The sequence below is a fragment of the Homo sapiens genome, chromosome 14, assembly GCF_000001405.40.
Source record: "Homo sapiens chromosome 14, GRCh38.p14 Primary Assembly".
NCBI classification, from domain to species: Eukaryota; Metazoa; Chordata; class Mammalia; order Primates; family Hominidae; genus Homo; species Homo sapiens.
In genome coordinates this window covers 85621139-85639871 of record NC_000014.9, presented here as the reverse complement: position 1 = coordinate 85639871, position 18733 = coordinate 85621139, and the positions used below count along the sequence as shown (strand labels likewise).

Below are 18733 nucleotides of genomic sequence, written 5' to 3'. Positions count from 1 at the left end.
GTCTCAAAAAAAAAAAAAAAGGAAAAAAAAAAAAATAAAGAATTTCTGCTAGTGAAGCACCATGGTGCGGTGAGGGAAAACAGCCTGATTTGAAATCCTAAGCCCTGTGTTTTCAAAGCTCATTCCATCACTTATTGTAAGAGCTTAGCCAGTCCTTTCTGGGGGCTTCAGTGTTTCCATCTTTAAAATGGGTAATGCACATAATAATATCAATAGTCTATAAATATAAATTCTACTAACACACACTCTAATTTTAGCCAAACTCATGAGAGAAAATTCAGCAGCTATACAAGAAGATTGAGATAAATCAATCATTGCTACCATCATTTGGGCTCACTAAAAAGTAGCAGAAAATGGAAACACGTCTCAGAATGACTGGTGGGGCCCCTTCTTCTACTTGCATTGTAGAAAGTAAATGTGGTACCTTGAATGCCTAATGACCTTTAATACTCATCCTCTTTTTGCCCAACCCGGTAAACTACTTTCAAGAAAAGCTGCTTATTTTAAAACCATAAATCACTTCACAAAGAGAATTCGATTATCTTTTACTCCTGTCAAGATTTTGTCAACTTAACGAGAAGGCATGCTCATAAACAACTTGCCATCCGGTTAACTGAATTTGTCAAGGAAAAGGAAACAGGGCAACAGTGAATGAGAGTCATCACTTTCCCAGCTTCCAGCAAATCCCTGAGAAAACCTGTGGGATCCTGCAGGTATCCTTAAAATAACTGGATCATGAGAAAACCTTGTTACAGAATAGAGACTGCCTGCTCTGGAAATTCTTTTGGTTTCAGTTTAGTTTTTATCTATCTACAAGAGACGACACTTATCCTAATGCACTAATCGTTTTGATTGTCATTTTCTTGGACATTTTTATTTTCAGATAGAGTTGATAAACTTGGTTTCACTGGGCTTCGTTCAAAGAATTGATTATTAGCTAACTTTTGTTTGCTTTTTTGCACTGTATGTTTTTTAATCTTTTATTTTTAGCATATAACAAGGTTATTTGACAATCATAAGAGAAGGGGAAAAGTTCAGTACTGGTTGATCAAAATAGGTTTGCGGACATGCAGCAAAATCTAGGCCTCATATATGTTCAGGTGCGTCATTTAAATTCATGGAATTAGAACATTCAGTGGTTATAACACAAATTAATGTTACTTCGCTCTGCTCAATAAGTAAAGAAATCCCTTGGGCCCAGCCTCACACTTTCACATAATAACGGGTCTATTGTTGGAGGAATTCAAGACAGCCTTGAGAAGAAGTGTGAAGTAGGCTGTAGCAGGTTGGGTTCCCAAGGAAATGGACTCTGAGACAGAGTAGCATACAAGAGGCTTACTTGGGAGGGTTTTTGCAGCTGACACCTGTGGAAGGCTATGAAGAACCAGGACTGGTAGAGGGAGAAGTAAAGCCATGATGAAATCTCAAGGGAAGCCTAAACTGAGCCTGCAGCCCATCAGAGCTGATCTGAGCTGGAGTAAGATGTCTAAGACTTCCTACCCCAATATTGATCAGTCATCAGGAAGTGTTGCCTGGAGAAAAAGACAGAACCATGGGAAAGCACTCTGTCTTCAGCCTGGGCGAAAGGCAAGAGGCTAACAGCAAGGATCTCTGCCAATAGAACCAGAGCACTTCCAAGAATGCCAACCACACAGGTAAACCTTGCTCTCTGCGGTGGCGTCTGTCCATCGCAATGGCCCGTGCTCCAAACTCTTCCATTTCTCCTTTCTCTATCCACACTCAGTTGTCCTTTATCCCATTCTCTACCGGTAATTGTTACATTTAGAATAAGTCACCTAGTCCCAGCTTCCATCATAATGGTTACTAAACATTTCACTTCTTGAAAATCTAGGTAATGTGTATACATTTTGTAGTGATGCCTGGTATCAAAAGAATAAGGATAATGATAGGCATTTCAAGCACAGTGGAGGATGGTGGAGCAGAGTAAGGACAAGAGAGAATTTAAATTCCCTTTAAATGACACTACTATATGGGTTCATATAATTAACCCTATTATTACCACTGGTGGGTGATTACAACATGAAAAATTTGCAAGAGTGTGTGCCCTGCCAGCTTTTTCAGAGACATCCACAGAAGCGCAAAGGAAACTATTATGTTTCAAATCTTCCTTTAAGACAAGTGATAGATGAGCCTACCCAAGGAATATGGCAGGAATGGTGGGTCCACCCTCAAAGCTACATCACTCCTGATCACATGAGAAGGCACCCTTCTCTGTCTGAGATATTCATGGAAGAGCAGACTGGGGGAAATTTGCTGTCATTGCAGGAGCATGGAAAATCACTTAGTTCTACCGGGAGTGACAGACGATTGTGGAAAGAAAGAATATTGAATGGAGTTAATGTAACAAAGCAACTGTATATACTAGACACTGTGCTAGTAACTTTAAATGAGTCTTCACACCAACACTGTGGTAGGTGTTTTTGTTATACCTTTTAAAAAATATGAAACCAAACATTAAAGAGGTGAAGTTTTTTGACTGGAGAACACAGCTGGTAAGTGAATGAGTCAATATTTGAACGCCAAAGCTAATGCTTTTCCTACCATGTCTATGCCATGGTGATTCTTATATGACTTTTAATTACTGCAGTTTAACTTTCTAATACTTAGAGGGATAATATTTTCAACTACTTGTTAATGCTTTTAATAACTTCTTTGTCTAGATGAAAATTTTTTATAGTTTATAAATTACACTTGATTAGTTACATTTGTACCCATGCCAGAAAAGATTTGTATGTGTAAAATGTGTTTACATTTATCTCCACAAAACATGTTGCTAGTTTTTCCCTAAAAATGTATGTCACACCAGTATTTACTTGCCCACTTAGATTATTGTTTTGTAAAATGTGTTTTTTTGTTTTTTGTTTTTGTTTTGTCTGTTAGAATGTTAGTCTCTCTCTTTTTTTTTTTTTTTTTTTTTTTTTGGAGACGAAGTATCGCTCTGTCACCCAGGCTAGAATGCAGTGGCACTATCTCAGCTCACTGCAACCTCCGCCTCCCAGGTTCAAGCAATTCTGCTGCCTCAGCCTCCCAAGTAGCTGGGATAACAGGCGCCTGCCACCATACCCTGCTAATTTTTGTATTTTTAGTAAAGGCGGGCTTTCACCATGTTGGCCAAGCTAGTCTCAAACTCCTGACCTCAAATAAATAATTCACCCACCTCAGCCTCCAAAAGTGCTGGGATTACAGGCATGAGCCACCACACCCGGCCCAGAATGTTCGTAATTTCATATAAACATTTTATTTGCCTTTCTTTTTCTTTTCCTGAAGATGTTTTGTTGCTTACTTTTCAGTTTATACTGGCTTTTTAAAACAGATTTCCTTTAGAGTAATTACTTCCATAGTGACAGCTATATTTACTGAAATAAAATGTTTCAAACATGTCTCGAAGTTTGAATTTCTGTCACTAAAGAAAATTAGTTAAGATTAATAAGAATGTTTTTTGTTTTTTTTTTTTTTTTTTCTGCAGGTGACTTCACCTTTGATTTTCCTACATTTAGGCAATGTTAGTGATGTTCTTTAAACTGCCAGGTAGAATTTCAATGTTTGCAATACAAATACCATTAAATACTTTTATTATAGTTACTTTGATAAATTCTTTTAAAAATACTATTTTGGTCCTTTATAGAGGTAGCATAATATTTAAAACTAACTTTAAAACAAATTATTTTACTAATCTGCTTGCATTTTATTAAATTCCCTTTACAGAATTAATGAACTTTTAAAGATTTCATAACAAAGAACTAATTAATGAGAAGCATAAATAACAGCTTATGAAAGAACAGGTAATGATACCTTAATCTGAGTCCCAAGGACCACTTTCCAATTACACAATTACAAGCCATTAATTTAAAATATCAATCATTAGACTATTATCAATTATTGGAAGTGTGTATTATATAAAAATTATATAAACATCTTTAATAAAGCAATGTTGATTACATTCAGGTGTATGATGTGATGAAATAAAGCTAGTGTTCACTGGCAGATATTCTTAGGTAACCGCTTTAAAGACTAAACATTTTGAAATGAACATTTCATTGTTAGCTGCTAAGTAGTGGTTTTATAAAAGTATTGAAGGTCTGGGAAAGAAGAATTTCCTAATTATTCTAAAAAGTTTTCATCTTTCTTTTTTTTAAACCATAATTGTATGTTTGTTCAAGGTTCAGATAAAAGTGGCAGGGATCAGGGTTAAAATCTGTTCTATTCCATCAAAAATAAACCACATTTATTATTTAATATTTTCTAGCTATTCTCATAATTCTTTCTCTGTCAAATATTAGGGTTTAATAGCTGTTATATAATGGCTTGAAAACATAAAATATTTAATATTTTAATAAACAATTTTTTATACAATTTTTATTGTACGACACTCTATCTTTGATAATTTTGACTTAAATAAAGTGTTTTATTAATAGTCTACTTAGTAATATAGTTTGTATTTCCTTGTTTTGAGGGAGAAGTGGTTGAACTAATGAGTTTTGTTTTCACTTGCTTCTCTTTCTATTCATTTGTAATTTTTCAGCCATAATGGGTTTGAATATATGCCAACCACTGAAGTGAAGATGATATAAATTATCTCATCAAATCCTTAAAAGTATTAGTACCTCATTTCATATATGAGGAAACTGAGGCTTAGGGACATTAAATAATATCACACAGATACAAAGTCACAGTTCTTTGTGATTCTGTAGCTCCTGATTTTAATGGTTATGCAGGTTGCTTCCCTAACATATCAAGTTTAAGGTTATTATAACTAATGAGAAACATGTTAGTCTTTATACTTAAGTCAATGAAACTGAGTGTTTATATGTTTGCTTTATCTATCCTAGTCACATCTTCCTGAATTTTAAAAGCACACAGAACACAAATCAGTCCAATGAACCAAATCTAAACTACATAGAAAATGAACAACCATAAAACAGAATTTAAGGTCCAAAGTAACTTGGGAGATCAACTAAATTCCTGCGCTTTTGACTATAAGAAACAAGCCCGAGAGAGAAGTGGTCTTATCCAAGATACAAAGGAGATTTGAGTTATATAGCCCAACTTTTTGCACACTAATTCCATATATTTTCAGAAAGTAGCTGGCATTTATTGAGCACTTTATATGTGTCAGGCACTGTGCAGTATGGTTACTGTTGAGGTGAGTGTTGTTATTAACCCATGTACAGATGAGAAAATTGAAGCATATACATGCCCAAGGACCAAGGTTAGTATGAGCCAGGATTTAAATTTAGATGTAGACAGCATTGGACTCAGAATTTAAAAGATTCATCATGTTTTCATAATATAACTTCCCATCCAATAGGCTACAGTCTTATAGACACAGTTGCTGTTAGATATAATTGGCCTCCATTACAAAACAGCTCACTTCCTGCTTCCTCCTTACTTCAGATACACTAGTAAAGCATGCTATATTCCAACTAATGAGGGCAGTTATGTAAAATACTTAGCAATAGGATAGCTGAGGCCTACCAGTCAAAACAGACACTAGTCCAAACAGAATAGAGATTGGCAGCAGACCACAGGAATGCCAGTACCCATTGATACTACTTGCCAAATAACTGTCCTGAAACCAATTAAATCATGCAGTCAAGGACTGAAAAAGTATATTTCCCCCCTCATCAAATGTCTGAACTTCTGCATTTATTAAGCAAGGAAAGACATAAATAGAAAGGAAAATAATGCTAATACAGACCGTAGTGAGTGAATTGCTTTGAGACTATTAACTACCACAAAGTGTACAGAAAGAAAACAACGTGATCCAGCTGAAGAGGATGCATGCCTGTTAATAACAACCAGCTTCCAAACTTAATAATGATATCGATTGCAAAAAGTAACCACATGACAGGTGGTAGACTATTGCACCTGCATTGTAGAGACATTAAAATGTTCTTCCATTTGACTGCTACCATCCCCACTATCAGCAAACCCAGTGTGGATTTAAATGCCGTAATTGGTGGTGTACTAGCATCAAATAAAACTATGTCTTACTAGAAATTATAGATTTTTGAAACAATATCAGAAATTTATTACTTTTTTTTTTTTTTTGAGACAGGGTCTTGCTCAGTTGCCTAAGCTGGAGTGCAGTGGCACAATCAGAGCTCAATGTAATCTTGATCTCCTGGGCTCAAGTGACCCTCCTGCTTCAACCTCCCAAGTAGCTGGGACTATAGGCACATGCCACCACTCCTGGCTAATTTTTTTTTTTTTTTTTAGAGATAGGGTCTCACTGCATTGCCCAGGCTGGTCTGGAAATCCTGACCTCAAGCAATCCTCCCACCTTGGCCTCCCAAAGTACTGCGATTATAGGCATGAGCCACTGTGCTCAGCTTATCTTGATTTTGTTTTTAGTATTTTGATTTCCAATGCCTTCTGAATGCTCATTCCTGGGGCTCTTTTGACACCCACATATTCTGAATTAATTTTCAGCAATAACTACATCTATGTGTACTCTAGCAACCAGATAGAATATATGCTACATTATAAAGAAGTCTGTTCTCTTTCTGTTCAACCATGTTGTTCAATGATCCCACACACCATGAGAAAAAAGGCCTGCCATGGTTGTGTGTTATCCCATGGCACCTCATCTTCCCAATTTTTTTCCCCCAGAAAGAATACAGAATAATGAAAACCTTTCTGACAGACCCATCTTGATAATAGCTGTGCAAATTATTGAGTGTTTTGAGGAATTTTGAATGCTAATTACCTTTAAATAGATCATCTCTACATGTAATTCTTACCCCAATACACAAGAAATTTGATTTTCATCATAAAAAGCTGGCAATTTGTCACCATGTGCTTGTGAATTACATCTGCATGAAAAATACATGGTGCTTCATGTCATTTATTCAATGTATACTCAGTACCAGATACTCTGTCAACTACTATATATGCCTTTAATTCTGACAACCACCATATGTGTTAGACATCATTGTCCCCATTTTAGGAAAAGTACACTGATAACCCTAAAGTGCAAGTTATTGCCAAGGCAAATTGGCAGGTCAGTGGTTGAAGCAGGATTCCAAAGTAAGTCAGCTTGATTTCAAACTGATTTCTTAATAACTACCACTCTCCACTCCCTTCTTTACAAGCATATCATTTCTAGGAAAGACTATTCTCATGGCAATAACCAAGATAACACAATGTGAACCTTTAAATGATATATGCTGTATTTTTATATGGGATATGACATAGTGAATAATGACTGTCTTTTTTAATTTTGCTGATGAAGATGAAAAAAAAAAAATCTCTGCTTTTCACATGCAAAGAATTCATTTTGACTAGCCGACTGTCGAAATGTTTAACTTTGTGTCTACTTGTGCTTTGTGGACTTTTCATGATGGCGATATTTTGTTGCAAGGTGATTTTTTTTTTTTTTTTTTTGAGTCTCACTCTGTCACCAGGCTGGAGTGCAATGGCATGATCTTGGCTCACTGCAACCTCCACCTCCTAGGTTCAAGCAATTCTCCTGCCTCAGCCTCCTGAGTAGCTGGGACTACAGGCACGCACCACCAAGCCCGGCTAAATTTTTTGTATTTTTAGTAGAGACAGGGTTTCACCATGTTGGCCAGGATGGTCTTGATTTCTTGACCTCGTGATCTGCCCACCTCGGCCTCCCAAAGTGCTGGGATTAAGGTGATTTTTAAAGATACCTCTTTGTATGCTTTTCTGCAAGCTGGTTCAGTTTTGAGTTTGTCTGTAATATATAAAAAGGATGTTCTTGGCTGGGCGCAGTGGCTCACACCTGTAATCCCAGCACTTTGGGAGGCCTAGGTGGGGGGATCACCTGAGGTCAGGAGTTCGAGACTAGCCTGGCCAATGTGGCAAAACCCATCTCTACTAAAAATACAAAAAATTAGCCAGGCATGGTGGTGCACGCCTGTAGTCCCAGCTACGCAGGAGGCTGAGGCAGGAGAATTGCTTGAACCCGGGAGGCGGAGGTTGCAGTGAGCCGAGCTTGTGCCACTGCACTCCAATCTGGTGACAGAGTGAGACTCCAACTCAAAAAAAAATAAATAAATAAAATAAAAAGATGTTCTTCAGGTCTTTTTAATTGTTATCTCAGCACATCCTATGAATGTAGACATACTGATTCCATCTAAAGCTTTCAAATCAGATGCATGGCCACCAAATAATCATAAAAACAAAATTTCTTTTAAAAATGTTGATGAGTAATCAAGAGATTTTAAGGAAAATATATATGTTTGTTTGTTCTTGTAAAACGCATACTGTGGTCTTTGAGCAAGGCTAATTTTGCACAAGTCAGAACTCCACAGCTCTTTCTGGGGCTATTAAAAAAAGAGCCATCTGGCCATAAGCAACTGACAGAGTGGCTCTTCCCCTGTAGCTGGGCACCCACCAGGGCCTGGGCATGGCTCTTAACACTGGATGAGGTACAACAATTTACAGAATATGTTTTCTGTTTCCAGGGGCCCCATTGTATAGGCATGAAGCAGACTCACAAAAAATTACAATATATAGGTGCTAAAAATAAATGTATTTTAAAGTTATATTAACCGCACAAAGCGGTCAGATAATTGGCAGGTGTGATTCCAGCGGCTTTGGAAGAGAGGTCTTTGACTTGTATCTTAAAGGACAAATATGTCATCAGGCAAAGGGGAATGTCACAGGATGAAAGACCTTGAGCACATATATAGTGGTTTGAAGGAACTTGAGATCCCAGGAAGATAAACTGAAAGCATTTTGTTTGCTCATTTCATATATATATATATATAAAATCTAGATTATATATGTAATTATATATATATAATCTAGAGCATGTAATGAAGGAGGAGGCAATATTGGTAAGAAATGTCAGGGAGCAACATGTAGTAGGATACATAAGTCACACAAAGAGTTTGAATTCTATCTTGCAAGCAATAAAAACGCATGTTTTGCAAGCACTGCAGTATCGTACTCAGGCATTCCTTATAGATTATGATTACCCTTTGTCCTTCAATGTGTTGGAAAGGCTAAATTAGAAAAAGACTAAAGGAAGGGTCTTAACCAAGTCAGAGTCAGGGAACCAAGAGGAGAAAACACATTTGAGAGGCCACTCTGGTGCTGGAACTAGCAGAATCCTAGGCTGATTATTTAAATGCAGTGGTGTGGCTCATGCCTGTAATCCCAGCACTTTGGGAGGCCTAGGTGGGTGGATCACCTAAGATCAGGAGTTTGAGACCAGCCTGGCCATATTCTGCTCAAAAAAAGCAAAGAGGCAGAAAGAGCCCAGGCTGACGGTTAAAAACCAGCAGCTTCCAAGAAAGATTTTTGATGAGCAAAATTTAACTCTCCTGGAAAACATTCTTATTCTGCACCAGAACTTACCAGGCCTCGGTAAATATTTGCTGAATGAAATCAAAACTAAACCAACAAAGGCCCATCCTATCCCAACTAGGGAGTTTAGAAGACTTTTTGAGCCAGCATAGTTTTTTATATTAGGAAAAGAGTGACCCAATACTGAGGTTTATTATGTCATTGAAGTAATAAGAATTCCCCTAAGGATATATTGAGGTTTTCGTCTAGTTTAGACTTCATACCAAAAAAAAAAAAAAAAAAAAAAGACAGATATGATCACCCATTGGTATGTGTGTGCTAAAATGACATATAGTTTGGGTTATTACCATTAAAAACTTTTGTATCCTTAACTTTCAGTAGAGCCAGTGAAAATAAAGCTTATATAATATCCCCTAAAGCACACATTTTTATCTATGTTATGGGAAAAAAAAAGAGCATAAATTCAGAAGCCAGTTTACTAATGCCCTAATAGATTGTGACATACGTGCTTTTTCAGCGGAATCTACAAAATACTTAGAGCAACATCTCAAGTACGAAACAAATTCATTCCTAAAAATAACCCAACTGAAGACCTTTTAGTAGCTCTTTCAGCTCACCCTATGGGTACAGACATATCTTGATTCCATCTGAAACCTTCAAATCAGATAAATGTGCAGCCATCAAATAATCACAAAAAGAATTTTTATAAAAAATAGGAATGGATGACCAAGGGCTTTAAAAGACAAGAATTTTGAGGCTTCTAAAATGTTCCCTTTATTTGCCATAAATGATAATATATGTATCCACTGAGAAGTTATGATAGCTCCATCATGAAAAATCTGAAGGCTAGTCAGTCTCAAGGATGGTCAATTTATTAAGAGGCAGGAAAACAATTAAGAGTCCATGGAGTCATGCTCAGTGGTAATTCCTGACTCTGCCATTTACAGGATTTGTAGCTATAGACTAATCACTTAATTTCTCTTGAAGCTAAGTTTTAAAATCTAAAAATTAAAATAACGCACCTTACAGGGTTATTTTAAAGACAGAATGCAAACATACGTTATCACACAGTTTGCACAAGGTCTTATATAAACAAAGGTTGTTAGTAATTATCAGGTGCCATTATTCCTTTAGATTGAGTTCCATCGTGGTGCTTAATAAAAATTTAAATGTCTGCATGTGTAATTACGAAATACAATTTCTAAGTTTTCAAATACTTGGTGGAAACTTGAAAATTTAATTCAAATTAAGTTCTGACTTTAGCAATGTACTCTCTCATTGCTGCATCTATTAAAAACCAAGAACATCTAATTATGACAGTTGCATCAACCTTACCAACAGGTAGAAACATCTCTTTTGTCACCTTAGATGTCCTGTCAATTTAATGAAGTAGTATAAAGTGATTATGCAGGCTCTGAGACACTGGAATGCATTAGAAAAAGTGTTTATTACCTGATCTGTGAGTTTCTTAATGGCTCACAGACACTTTTCTCTGAATCCCCGGAAGACCCTAACATAGTGCTGTAGAAAGTAGATGAATAGTAAATATATCAGATGAAGAGATTTCTTCAGGGACATAGTGAGGGAGAAGATTTGCCTGATTTGGCTAAGAACGCATTTCACTATTCTGTGAGGCCTCTGAACTCAGCCTAGTGTTTGGAACAGAGTAGGAGGACATTAATGAATTATTTTGAATGAATGGTATTTTTTGACTAATGGTTTAGTCTGTATAGAATAAGGTCTGTAACTCTTGGCAAAAGTACCCAAGAATAGCATAGATGTTACTTTACATAAAATCCCCAAAAGTAATATGAATTACTTGTTAGCACTGTCTTTCATAGTCAATGTTCCAACAGAGATTCTACAAACAGGTAATACTAGTTAACTGAAATGTCATGAATTTATTTCCTGATTCAATCTCTGTCAAATACATTATTAATGAAATGGCCAAGAGGGGTTAGCAAAAGGGGTTCTGAAAAATCATATGAGACTAATCAATTGAAGTTGAGCATATGAATAGATACATTTCCTTGAGTGCCTATTGAAAGGATGGACAGATGTGCTATAAATTCTGCGGCAGAAAAGTACTATGAGAATTCTTAAAGAAATCTGACATTTAAAACCAATAGCGTGGCTGGGCATGGTGTCCTCTGCCTGTACTCCCAGCACTTTGGGTGATCGAGGTGGGATGATTGCTTGCATCTAGGAGTTTGAGACCAGCCTGGGCAACATGGTAAGACCGTGTTTAAAAAAAATTTAAAAATAAAAAATAAAGCCAATAGCATCTATTTTGAAATAGGGGAAAAGCCTATTCTGATAGGATAAATACAATGACATTATCTGTATCCTAAACAACATAGATTTCACCAGTATAAAATAAGATGCTCTGTGTATGTGTGCATACCTAAAAGGTATTCGTAGGAACACACAATTTAGTTGGGAAATTTAAAAGAACATGAGGATTTCATATAAACTCCTCACACAAAAAGGATCAAATGGCCTTTAGAAATGCAAGTCATATTCATGATAGGAGAATACGAAAGTCCTATTACCTCTTTTATTCCTGCCCTCCTGCGTCATTTCTTCTACATTAACAGCACAAGTATTGACTGTATCCCAATGAACTTACTCAGATAAACACAATGTGGTTTTCTTTTAAAATAAGACTTTACTGAATATATCAACAAGGTACTGTATAGTGTAGAGTGAAGTTTGTCATTAACAAAGTGTGCGACATGGTAGGTCTCAGAGGATGTGTGATGCAGAATCTTTCAGCCCCTTATCAGAGAGAACACACTAAACAGAAACCAGAAGCAAATCAGCATATGGTTCAAACAATAACAAATCATCAGGTTAACTTTCAGTGAATATACACTAGTCCTATGAGCGACACACACTTGGCAATGCCTTCACCTTGCCTTAAACATTATAAATCTTACATTCCAGGGACACCTTTACAAATGCCCCTGTTTGTGTGTGTGTGTGTGTGTGTGTACAAGCATGTGCATGTTTGATAATAATTTTTAAATGCCTGTTGCAATGGCCTTGCTTTGTGCTCTTCTGGTGGGTGTGCAGGTAGAAAACAAAAAACTATAGTAAAAAAATTTGTTTTGTTATAACAACGGTATCAGACATATACAAAACTCTTTCTCCACAGTGACAAGCATTCCCCATTGCTAGTAACTGTCTTTTGACCCTGCTGAAGAAATCAGAGAAGGATGTAGGTTATGCCTTCTTAGCATTCATATTTTGACTTTAGAAAGAGCATCAGGCAAGGTTTGACAAGACCAAGAACAAGACCAAGAACTGTTTTGTTCTGTGTGAGTATCTTTTTTCCATTTGGGGCACTGTTTTCTGCTTTGCTTTCCCATGCAGCTGGAATGGTAAGTCATGAGCAAAACTGCTATTCTCATGTTCTAAAGTAAAATGTAATGTCTCCTTGTTATAGGTTAGAGAAAAATGCTATAAGCAAAGACACCAATGGGAATTAACCCCTTCACTTTTCAAAAGCTGCGATGGCCTCTGCAGCCAAGGTCCGGAGATCAAGTGAAGCATCCATTCCCTGTGGACTGCAATATTGCCTCGTGTTCTGAATGGATGCTTCAATCACAGCATGAAGATGTTGTCCTCCCTGGTGGGGAAGGAAGTTCTGATTTGTGTGAAATGACTAAGACCATTATGATAGGTGCTAGTAGAAAATGAAGCTGTAATATTAGCTACTTCATTAATACTTCTTACCAGACTGGTCACGTACTTTTTGTTTTTAACCTCAGGGAGAATGTCTAATATATTTTCAACGAACATCCAGATAATTAGAAATTGCATTATTTCTCACAGGGGAGAATGTTTTCCATTTGTTACACAAGGAAAATAGGCAGGGGATACATTCCTCGTATCTGCCTGCGATTGTCCCATGCAGTGGGCTGCTAATGCATCTGACGGTGTTTGAGGGTGGCCCAGAGTCTCTCTATAATCAAACATATCTCCCCAAACAAGCAGGTATTAACAACTACCCTGGCTATAGATAACTGTCAATATATCCTTTTGATCATGACTATGCCTCTTCCTTTTCAATGTCTTCTGTACAGTGACATTTACCAAGCTCTGAATGGGATCAGATTCTATCTGAGTCACCTCATTTGGCCAGGCAGCATCAAGCTCTTTATTGGCCAGTGAGCATGGCTTTTTTTCCCATGGTCTTGGCCTGTACTCGCAACCTTGACTCTTGACTAATCATCTCAAAATACATCATAATGACAGCAAGAGAGGCCCAAACACAGAGCAGATATATCAGCAAATATACATTCCCATGACTAAAAATGCCAATCAAAGCAGAATCCCCAGGGACAGTTGTTTGGCAATTTTCATAAGACACATTAGACATCACAGATTCCATCACGTGCTTTCTATCCTGGTGCAGGTGAGGCTGTAACAAATGGGAGACGGATTTTAATCTTAGCAGTCTTTGCCATGTTGTACACAAGGTGAAAATAAAGCCTGTTACTAGGTTCAATCTCTTCAGGAACACCTCCAGCAAAAGGGACCCTGTCAGACCATCTTAAGCATTGCACATGACTGTCTCCATTGTACCATTTAAGCCCCAAATAATTCTGTGAACCCCATAAGAAATGACAGGAACCTCTTCATCCTTGTTCTTCCTGGCCCAAAGTGGTTTCAGCAGCCAGAAATCCCACTGGGGGTTAAACATACAATATACATAAATGAGAATGAGTATTTTGTGAATAACAGAAATAAAAACCCTCAAAAGTCAAAGTACCATCATTTGAATGCACAATTTTATCTACACAGCCAAGGGGAAGAGGACAGTAGAAGGGAATTATCCAGCTAAGTACACAAAGCCCCCATGTCATTGTCTTGATTTTAGATGTCTTACTGCTACACTGATCACCTTCACAGACTCTTTTCCCTTCACTGTGTGGACCTAACTTTAAAAAAAGCAACAGCCAAAACCCTCTAGCTAATAGACTAAAATGGAAACCAGAGTCACTTTAGAATTAATTTAAATTAATTCATAGCTAAGTTCAGCTCTACTGACTGCACAGTTTCAATTCTTGTGTCTACGACATACAGCTGCAGTTATATTTTCTGCTTATTCTGAGGGACAAGGGAGATTAAAACATATAAGTTGGGCTATATTATTAAAGAAAATAAAGCTCTTACTATAAAGAAAAAGTTGCATAGCATTTTATACCTAAACTTTTACAAAGAAGACACATCACAGTTTTATTTTGCTGAGAGAGAGAGAGCTAGTAAGATGATTGTGACATTTACTTCATGGGTCCCTATAATAATGGTCAATGGTAAAAGAAATATGCAGCACAGAGTGAAATGTTTAAATTTGATTTTCGAAAGATATTTTTTCCAAGGGAGTAGTTTTTGATAACGTATGTGATCTATAGCCCTTCTCTATCTAAGGATGGCAAAGATTAAATTATGTGTTTTCTGAAGGTGTTGTCTCAAAAGTATCTAGAATTAAGCACGGACATCCTCTCTTTTCTACGCCCTGCTCTGCCAGGATTAGGGGAAAAAGCCTTCACTCTCTGACTTGTTTTTCATGGGTTGTCCTGCTAACATAAGATTGATTAGCCCTCCACAATTGCCAAAGTAGAGGAACATCCACGATGGAAAAGGAACAAATAAAATTTCAAAAGTGGAACAGGATCAAAGTCAGTCCAAGGTGGAAACCAGGTATTGCTTTTTAAAAAAAATTCATTATTTTGGCCAGCTTTGATGTGTCCTTACAGAATTATTAGCAGTGAAAATTAGTACTCATTTTAAAATGTATAAGTACGTAATGGATATCTTGTGCAGCCAAGACTGGCATCCATAATTTTCCTTGAAATACTGAACAGAGGGAGAAAAACAAAGGTGTCATAAACAACTAATTATGAAAATATATGGGAGATGATTGGAAGACAAGAATTTGCAAGGGGATAAAAGATATTACTTCAAGCTATTTCAACATGATACTAACAAAGTCAGCTGACATAACAGAACCACTGATCAGTTGTTTTTGTCTAAATAGCAGGAAGGGTAATTTTTAAATAAGTCATTGTTGTATTTTCCAAACATTGATCACCTGTTGGTCTAAATATCATGTTGACATAGCCTCAGTGAATCTACCCAAATAATTCTCATTATCAAAAATAATTCCATTCAATATAATTCTTCCCTTTATTAGCCTCTTCTAAAAAAGTATTCTAGAATATATCTCTGTTGAATGTGATTCAACCTGATATATGATTTGAACAGTAACACTTTTAAAGGGAGTCTTCTTGCTACAACATCAGACTGGTCCCTGAAGATGACTGAAATCAGACTCAAGTCTCTAACTCTGTTATCACATAGGACCAGGGAAGCATGAAGAGTGATTTTTAAGTTCCCAGTCAGAAAGCCAACCCCTGCATTTTCGGGTCCTTTCAAATCTCATCTCAATTTTCTTGATTCTGTCAGGCCGGGTTAACTTATCTCACGGGAACCGGCTTCCTCCTGGTGCTTTCAGCATTTCCCACACAGGGTCAAATCAGGGTAACTACCTCCATTCTTACATTATAGAATTTTTTACCTGTCTTCCGGACCTGGAGGTATAGGAATAGTGTGAAACTATCGGGCCATTTCTTGTTTTACCCATATTATTCCTCTTACCCTGATGAGTCCATTTAATCTGCCCTTTCATCTGACCACCAGGAATTTATTCTGACAGCTTCAACAGCAAAGTGGTTGATGTGTATCCTAAGGAAAAATCACTCGTTCTTTTTGCCTTGGCATTGGGTTCTCATTGTACAACCCTGTACAGTACTTCAGCAACTTTTTTTTTTTTAAGATTTAAAAAGCAAAGAGTTACAAAACTGTTTGTAATTAACTTGAAATAGAAAAGATAGCACTTTTTTTAAATCCCATTATATAGTACACCGTATAAATTACAGAGTATTCAAATGCACAAATGCATCTGTGTAACATTTATCAAATGTAATCTGCGTGTCTTTATGTGCACACACGAGTGTGTTCTCAAGAGTCTAATTGTCCGCCTTGATAACGCTGGGCCTCTGGCTGTCACGTATGGCAGTGCTCCAGGTCTGGCACGCTGCTGTTGCAGTATCGCATGTTGTTGGGGATATGGCAGTCTGTGTAATTAATGCCCCCATTTGGGGTGTAAATGGGCTGCAGTCTGAAATCTCCTTTAAGGAGTTGATCGTTATTTAAGGAGACGATCTGAAAACTGGTTTCTGTCATCTCCAGGATGGAGTTGTCCTTCTTGGTGCCTGCCTCGCAATAATCATCTTTCCGCCGGCCCCGGTTGTATTTCCACTTCTGGGAGGTGTAGCGCCCCTTTTTGTGCATATGCCAGCAAAAGACGCTGAGCAAGACCACCAGCACAAATATCACCGCGCCCCCGATCAAGCCCGCCAGCAGAAAGGGGGAGCCCATGCTGTGGGACGTCGTCTGCTCATGGCTGGACGCTGTGTTGCTGCCGTTGTTCAGATAGGAGGCATGGGTGGTGGCCTCTGAACAAATGGTGTCTTCTACCGCGCGGTAGTTAAAAGCATCCAGTGGCACTAAACAAATCCGATAGGTGGATCGGGGCTCTAAGTTAACCAGGCTCAGGTGTTGCTTCTCACCGCTGACTATGCGCTCCTGAACGATGCCCCCTACTAAACTGTGGCCCATTTTCACCCATGTGAGTTTGTATGCCATCACGGTGAAGAGAGAGAGCCAGCTGACTTGAATGGAAGTATCATTCACAAAATGGATAGAGAGCTGGATCCGTTCAGAAATAGGTGGGGTCACTCTTTCTCTGCCATCCCAGTCAGGAATCGTGGGAAGTTTCGATGTGGTAGGAGTTGGAGGCGTGTAGCTTCTGCTAGGGTTTGGAATAGAGAGGGTGGGAGGCTGAGTGGTCGGAGAAGCTGTACTTGGGGCTGGGGTGAAGAGAGGCAGGCCGGGGGTCGTGGTGGGACAGGACAAAAGATTCATATTTAATTCCCTGACGGCCATCCCCCGGACTTGTTCAGGACCTTGGCACATGAAACCCCGCACGTTGAGAGATGAAGGGATATATTTGAGCCATTCTGTGACCCATTTAATACTGCAGTCACAAAACCAAGGGTTATTCCGAGCAGTGAGCTGCTTCAGGTTGGAGAGATTATCAAAAACCCCTTGAGTCAGCATCCGCAGTTGGTTGTTGGATATATCCAGCCGTTCCAGCTTACGCAGATTTGAGAAGGCTGTCAAAGGAATGTGGTTTATCTGGTTGTCCTGCAAATAGAGCCTGATCAGATGCGTACCTGGGAGATCGGGAGGAGGGTGGGACAGCGAATTACGTACAATTGAAAATTCCTTGAGCTTGGTGAGATGGCTGAAGGTGCCCTCGGCGATACCCTTGTTGGTCAGGAGGTTCCCGTCCACAATAAGACGCTCCAAGCTCGTGAGATTCTGGAAGGCCATGTCGGATATGACAGCAATTCGATTTTCATCCACTCTCAGCTCTTGCAAGTCCACAGGAAGCCCAACAGGCACACTGCTCAGGTGATTCTTAGACAAAAACAACAATTTGAGGCTAATAGCCTCCCGGAAGGCCCCGTCTTCCACCCCCACTGTGGATATGGAGTTGTCATCCAGGTGCAGCTCTTCAAGCTTCAAGAGCTGGGCAAGAGCAGCCCGTGAAATGGTCTGAATATTGTTTTCCTGCAAATGGAGAACTCTGACATTCTTGGGAAGGTTCATGGGGAATTCGTCCAGTTGGTTGCCATACAGGTAGACCGTGTGCACCGACTGTACATTGTGCAGTTCTGCAGGAAATCCAGCATTATTAATTTGGTTGTTGTGGAGGTAGAGTACAGTTACGCCCTCCGGGATCCCAAGAGGCACTGAGGTCAAGCTTCGCTCATTACAGTAGACAAAGTTCCTGTCGCAGCGGCACACACTAGGGCAGGCCAGGAGTTTGGACACCTGTGAGTAGAGCCCCAGGGAAATGATAAGCCAAGACTTCAGGAAAAAAGCCCCATGGCTGGGCCACTTTGTGGTCTGTAGGCCCATTTCTGAAGTACGGAAATAAAATACAATGTGGTGGGAAAAAGAAAAAGAAAAAAAAAATAAACAGCAAAATCAAAATGACTGGATGGGGTTCTGTTGAAGTCCAGAACTCCAGCTAGAGGGAACGTCCTGAGGGCGTATGGTAAAATAATCTCCCTGCTGTCTCTGGTCTTATCAGCCTGTGTTGCCCTCTTTGCTGCTGTCCTCCATGTGCAAAAAATTCAACAGGGAGAATTTTTCCACACTGGCAACAGGTGATGGCAAGTTATCAGCCGTGTCAACACAAGCCCAAGTGGGCAGGCAGAACTCTCTTCTTCTTTTGTAGGTCAAGCCAGCCTTGATTAGCCTACGAACTTCTTGGTTAAGCTCAATCTGCAAT

At 38.6% G+C, this 18733-nt stretch overlaps 1 protein-coding gene across 6 annotated transcripts in view; it reads right to left on the bottom strand.

Moving 5' to 3' along the window:
* The window catches only part of FLRT2 (fibronectin leucine rich transmembrane protein 2), a 124285-nt gene that overhangs the window by 14557 nt on the left and 90995 nt on the right, over window positions 1–18733 (bottom strand). For all 6 annotated transcript variants that reach the window (NM_001346144.2, XM_047431176.1, NM_013231.6 and 3 more), the window contains one exon: window positions 1–18733. This exon is cut by the window's left edge and continues 14557 nt beyond it. In NM_001346144.2, the coding sequence (NP_001333073.1) occupies window positions 16375–18357 (1983 nt within the window). In that variant the 5' untranslated portion in view covers window positions 18358–18733 and the 3' untranslated portion in view covers window positions 1–16374.